The following is a 4,030-nucleotide window of genomic DNA, read 5'->3' as shown; positions in this document are numbered from 1 at the left end:
CTCTCAAGTCTTTAGTCCTATTTAAGAAACTACTACCTGTGCCTTGATAATTTTCAGAATGGCTATGGACTAATGATTCCTATATACCTTCTATTTCTCCCTTTTTGAACGGGAGATTTTTTTTCCATAAGTTATTGGGGTATTGGGGTACAGGTGGTATTTGGTTACATGAGTAACTTTTTCAGTGGTGATTTGTGAGATTTTGGTGAACCCATCACCCAAGCAGTATACACTGCACCATATTTGTAGTCTTTTATCTCTTGCCCCCTCCCACTTTTTCCCCGAAATCTCCAAAGTTCATTGTGTCATTCTTATGCCTTTACGTTCTCATAGCTTAGCTCCCACATATCAGTGAGAACATGCAATGTTTGGTTTTCCATTCCTGAGTTACTTCACTTAGAATAATAGTCTCCAATCTCATCCAGGTCACTGCAAATGTTAATTCGCTCTTTTTTATGGCTGAGTAGTATTTCATCATATATATATATATATTTCATCATATATATGTGATATACATATATTTCATCATATATATGTGATATATTTCACATATATATGTGATATATATATATATATATATCACAGTTTCGTTATCCACTTCATTGATTGATGGGCATTTGTGTTGGTTCCACAATTTAGCAATTGTGAATTTTGCTGCTATAAACCTGCATGTGCAAGTGTCTTTTTCGAATAATGACTTTTTTTTTCCTCTAGGTAGATAACCAGTAGTGGGATTGCTGGATCAAATAGTAGTTCTACTTTTAGTTCTTTAAGGAATCTCCACACTGTTTTCCATAATGGCTGTACTAGCTTACATTCTCACCAGCAGTGTAGAAGTGTTCCCTGTTCACTGCATCCACACCAACATCTACTGTTTTTTGATTTTTTGATTATGGCCATTCTCACAGGGAAAAGGTGGTTTTGAATTGTGGTTTTGATTTGCATTTCCCTGATCATTAGTGATGTTGAACAGTTTTTCATATGTTTGTTGGTCATTTGCATATCTTCTTTTGAGAATTGTCTATTCATGTCCTTAGCCCACATTTCGATGGGATTTTTTTTTTCTTACTGATTTGTTTGGGCTTGTTGTAAATCCTGGATGTTAGTCTTTTGTCAGATATATAGATTGTGAAGACTTTCTCCCACTCTGTGGGTTGTCTGTTTACTCTGCTGACTGTTCCTTTTGCTATGGAAAAGCTCTTTAGTTTAATTAGGTCCTAGCTATGTATCTTTGTTTTTATTGCATTTGCTTTGGGTTCTTGGTCATGAAATCCTTGCCTAAGCCAATGTCTAGAAGGGTTTTTCCAAGGTTATCTTCTAGAATTTTTATAGTTTCAGGTTTTAAGTCCTTAATCTATCTCGAGTTGATTTTTGTATAAGGTGAGAGATGAGGATCCGGTTTTATTCTCCTACATGTGGCTAGCCAATTATCCCAGCACCATTTATTGAAAAGGGTATTCTTTCCCCACTTTATGTTTTTGTTTGCTTTGTTGAAGATCAGTTGGTTGTAAGTATTTAGGTTTATTTCTGGGTTCTCTTTTCTGTTCCATTGGTCTATGTGCCTATTTTTATACCAGTACCTTGCTGTTCTGGTGACTATGGCATTAAACTATAATTTGAAATCAGGTAGAGTGATGCCTCCAAATTTATGCTTTTTGCTTAGTCTTGCTTTGGCCATTGAGGCTGTTTTTTGGAAAGATGTGAATTTTATAATTGTTTTTTCTAAGTCTGTGAAGAATGATCGTGGTATTTGGTTGGGAATCTCATTGAATCTGTAGATTGCTTTTAGCAGTATGGTCATTTTCACAATATTGATTCTACCCATCCATGAGCATGGGATGTGTTTCCATTTGTTTGTGTCGTGAAAAGAATATGATTTGTAGTTTTCCTTGTAGAGGTCTTTTGACTCCTTTGTTAAGTATATTCCTACGTATTTTTTTTCTTTTTCTTTTTCTTTTTTGCAGCTATTGTAAAAGTGGTTGAGTTCTTGATTTGATTCACTGCTTGGTCGCTGTTGGTGTATAGAAGAATTACTGATACGTGTACATTAATCTCGTGTCCAGAAACTTTGCTGAATTCTTTTATCAGTCCTGGGAGCTTTCTAGAGAAGTCTTTAGGGTTTTCAAGGTAAACGATCATATTGTCAGCAAACAGTGACAGTTTGACTTCCTCTTTACCAATTTGGATGTCCTTTATTTCTTTCTCTTATCTGATTATTCTGGCTAGGACTTCCAGTACTATGTTGAAGAGGAGTGGTGAGAGTGGGCATCCTTGTCTTGTTCCAGTTCTCAGAGGGAATGCTTTCAACTCTTCCCCATTCAGTATTATGTTGGCTGTGGGTTTGTCACAGATGGCTTTTATTACATTCAGGTATGTCCCTTGTATGCCGATTTTTCTGAGAGTTTTAATCATAAAGCAATGCTGGATTTTGTCCAATGTTTTTTCTCCATCTATTGAGATGATCATGTGATTTTTGTTTTTAATTCTGTTTATGTGGTGTGTCACATTTATTGACTTGCATATGTTAAACCATCCCTGCATCCCTGGTATGAAACCCACTTGATCATGGTGGATTACCGTTTTGATATGTTGTTGGATTCGGTTAGCTAGTATTTTGTTAAAGATTTTAGCATCTATATTCATCAAGGATATTGGTGTGTAGTTTTCTCTTTTGGTTATGCCCTTTCCTGGTTTTGGTATTATGGTCATGCTGGCTTCATAGAATGAATTAGAGAGGGTTCCTTCTTTCTCTATCTTGTGGAATAGTGTCAAAAGGATTGGTACCAATTCTTTGAATGTCTGTTAGATTTCTGCTGTGAATCTGTCTGGTCCTGGACTTTTTTTGTTGGTAATTTTTAAATTACCATTTCAATCTCACTAACTTGTTATTGGTCTGTTCAGGTTATTTAATTCTTCCTGATTTAAGCTAGCAGGGTTTTATCTTTCCAGGAATTTATCCATCTCTTCTAGGTTTTCTAGTTTATGTGCATAAAGGTGTTCATAGTAGGCTCAAATGATCTTTTGTATTTCAGTGCTGTCAGTTGTAATATCTCCTGTTTCATTTCTTAGTGAGGTTATTTGGATTTTCTCTTTGCTTTTCTTGGTTAATTTTGCTCATAGTCTATCAATTTTATTTATCTTTTTAAAGAATCGGTTTTGTTTCTTTTATATTTTGTATTTTTTTTGTTTCAATTTCATTTAGTTCTGCTCTGATCTTGGTTATTTCCTTTCTTCTGCTGGATTTGAGTTTGGTTTGTTCTTGTTTCTCTAGTTCCTTGAGGTATGACCTTAGATTGTCTGTTTGTGCTCTTTCAGACTTTTTGATGTAGACATTTAGGGTTATGAACTTTCCTCTTGGCACCGCCTTTGCTATATCCCAAAGGTTTTGATAGGTTGTGTCATTATTGTCATTCAGTCCAAAGAATTTTTTAATTTCCATCTTGATTTTATTTTTGACCCAATGCTCATTCAGGAGCAAGTTATTTAATTTCCATGTATTTGCATGGTTTTGAAGGTTCCTTTCAGAGTTGATTTCCAGTTTTATTCCACTGTGGTCTGAGAGAGTGCTTGATATAATATCAATTTTCTTAAATTTACTGAGGCTCGTTTTATGGCCTATCATATGGTCTATCTTGGAGAAAGTTCCATGTGCTGTTGAATAGAATGTGTATTCTGGGGTTGTTAGATGAAAGGCTCTATATATATCTGTTAAGTCAATTTGTTCCAAGGTATAGTTTAAATCCATTGTTTCTTTGTTGACTTTCTGTCTTGATGACCTGTCTAGTGCTGTCAGTGAAGTATTGAAGTCCCCCACTATTACAGTGTTGCTGTCTATCTCATTTCTTAGGTCTATAAGTAATTGTTTTATCAATTTGGGAGCTCCAGTGTTAGGTGCATATATGTTTAGGATTGTGGTATTTTTTTGTCGGACAAGACGTTTTACTATTATATACTGTCTGTCCCTCTTTGTCTCTTTTAACTGCTCTTGCTTTAAAGTTTGTTTTGTCTGATATAAGAATAGGTACCCCTG

The 4,030-nt window shown here is 35.2% G+C and overlaps 1 annotated feature.

Annotated features, from left to right (window-relative positions):
• Window positions 3,630–3,731: a silencer, noted in NCBI's record as "fragment chr8:121910815-121910916 (GRCh37/hg19 assembly coordinates)". NCBI's record gives its function as "represses an EF-1alpha promoter that drives an FKBP-Casp9 reporter gene in an ReSE screen in phorbol 12-myristate 13-acetate-treated (for megakaryocytic differentiation) K562 erythroleukemia cells {active_cell/tissue: K562(+PMA)}" and the evidence as "EXISTENCE:reporter gene assay evidence [ECO:0000049][PMID:32094911]".

The sequence above is a fragment of the Homo sapiens genome, chromosome 8, assembly GCF_000001405.40.
Source record: "Homo sapiens chromosome 8, GRCh38.p14 Primary Assembly".
Classification (NCBI taxonomy): Eukaryota; Metazoa; Chordata; class Mammalia; order Primates; family Hominidae; genus Homo; species Homo sapiens.
Note: the sequence above shows the minus strand (reverse complement) of the source record. Positions and strands in the feature narration are given on the sequence as shown.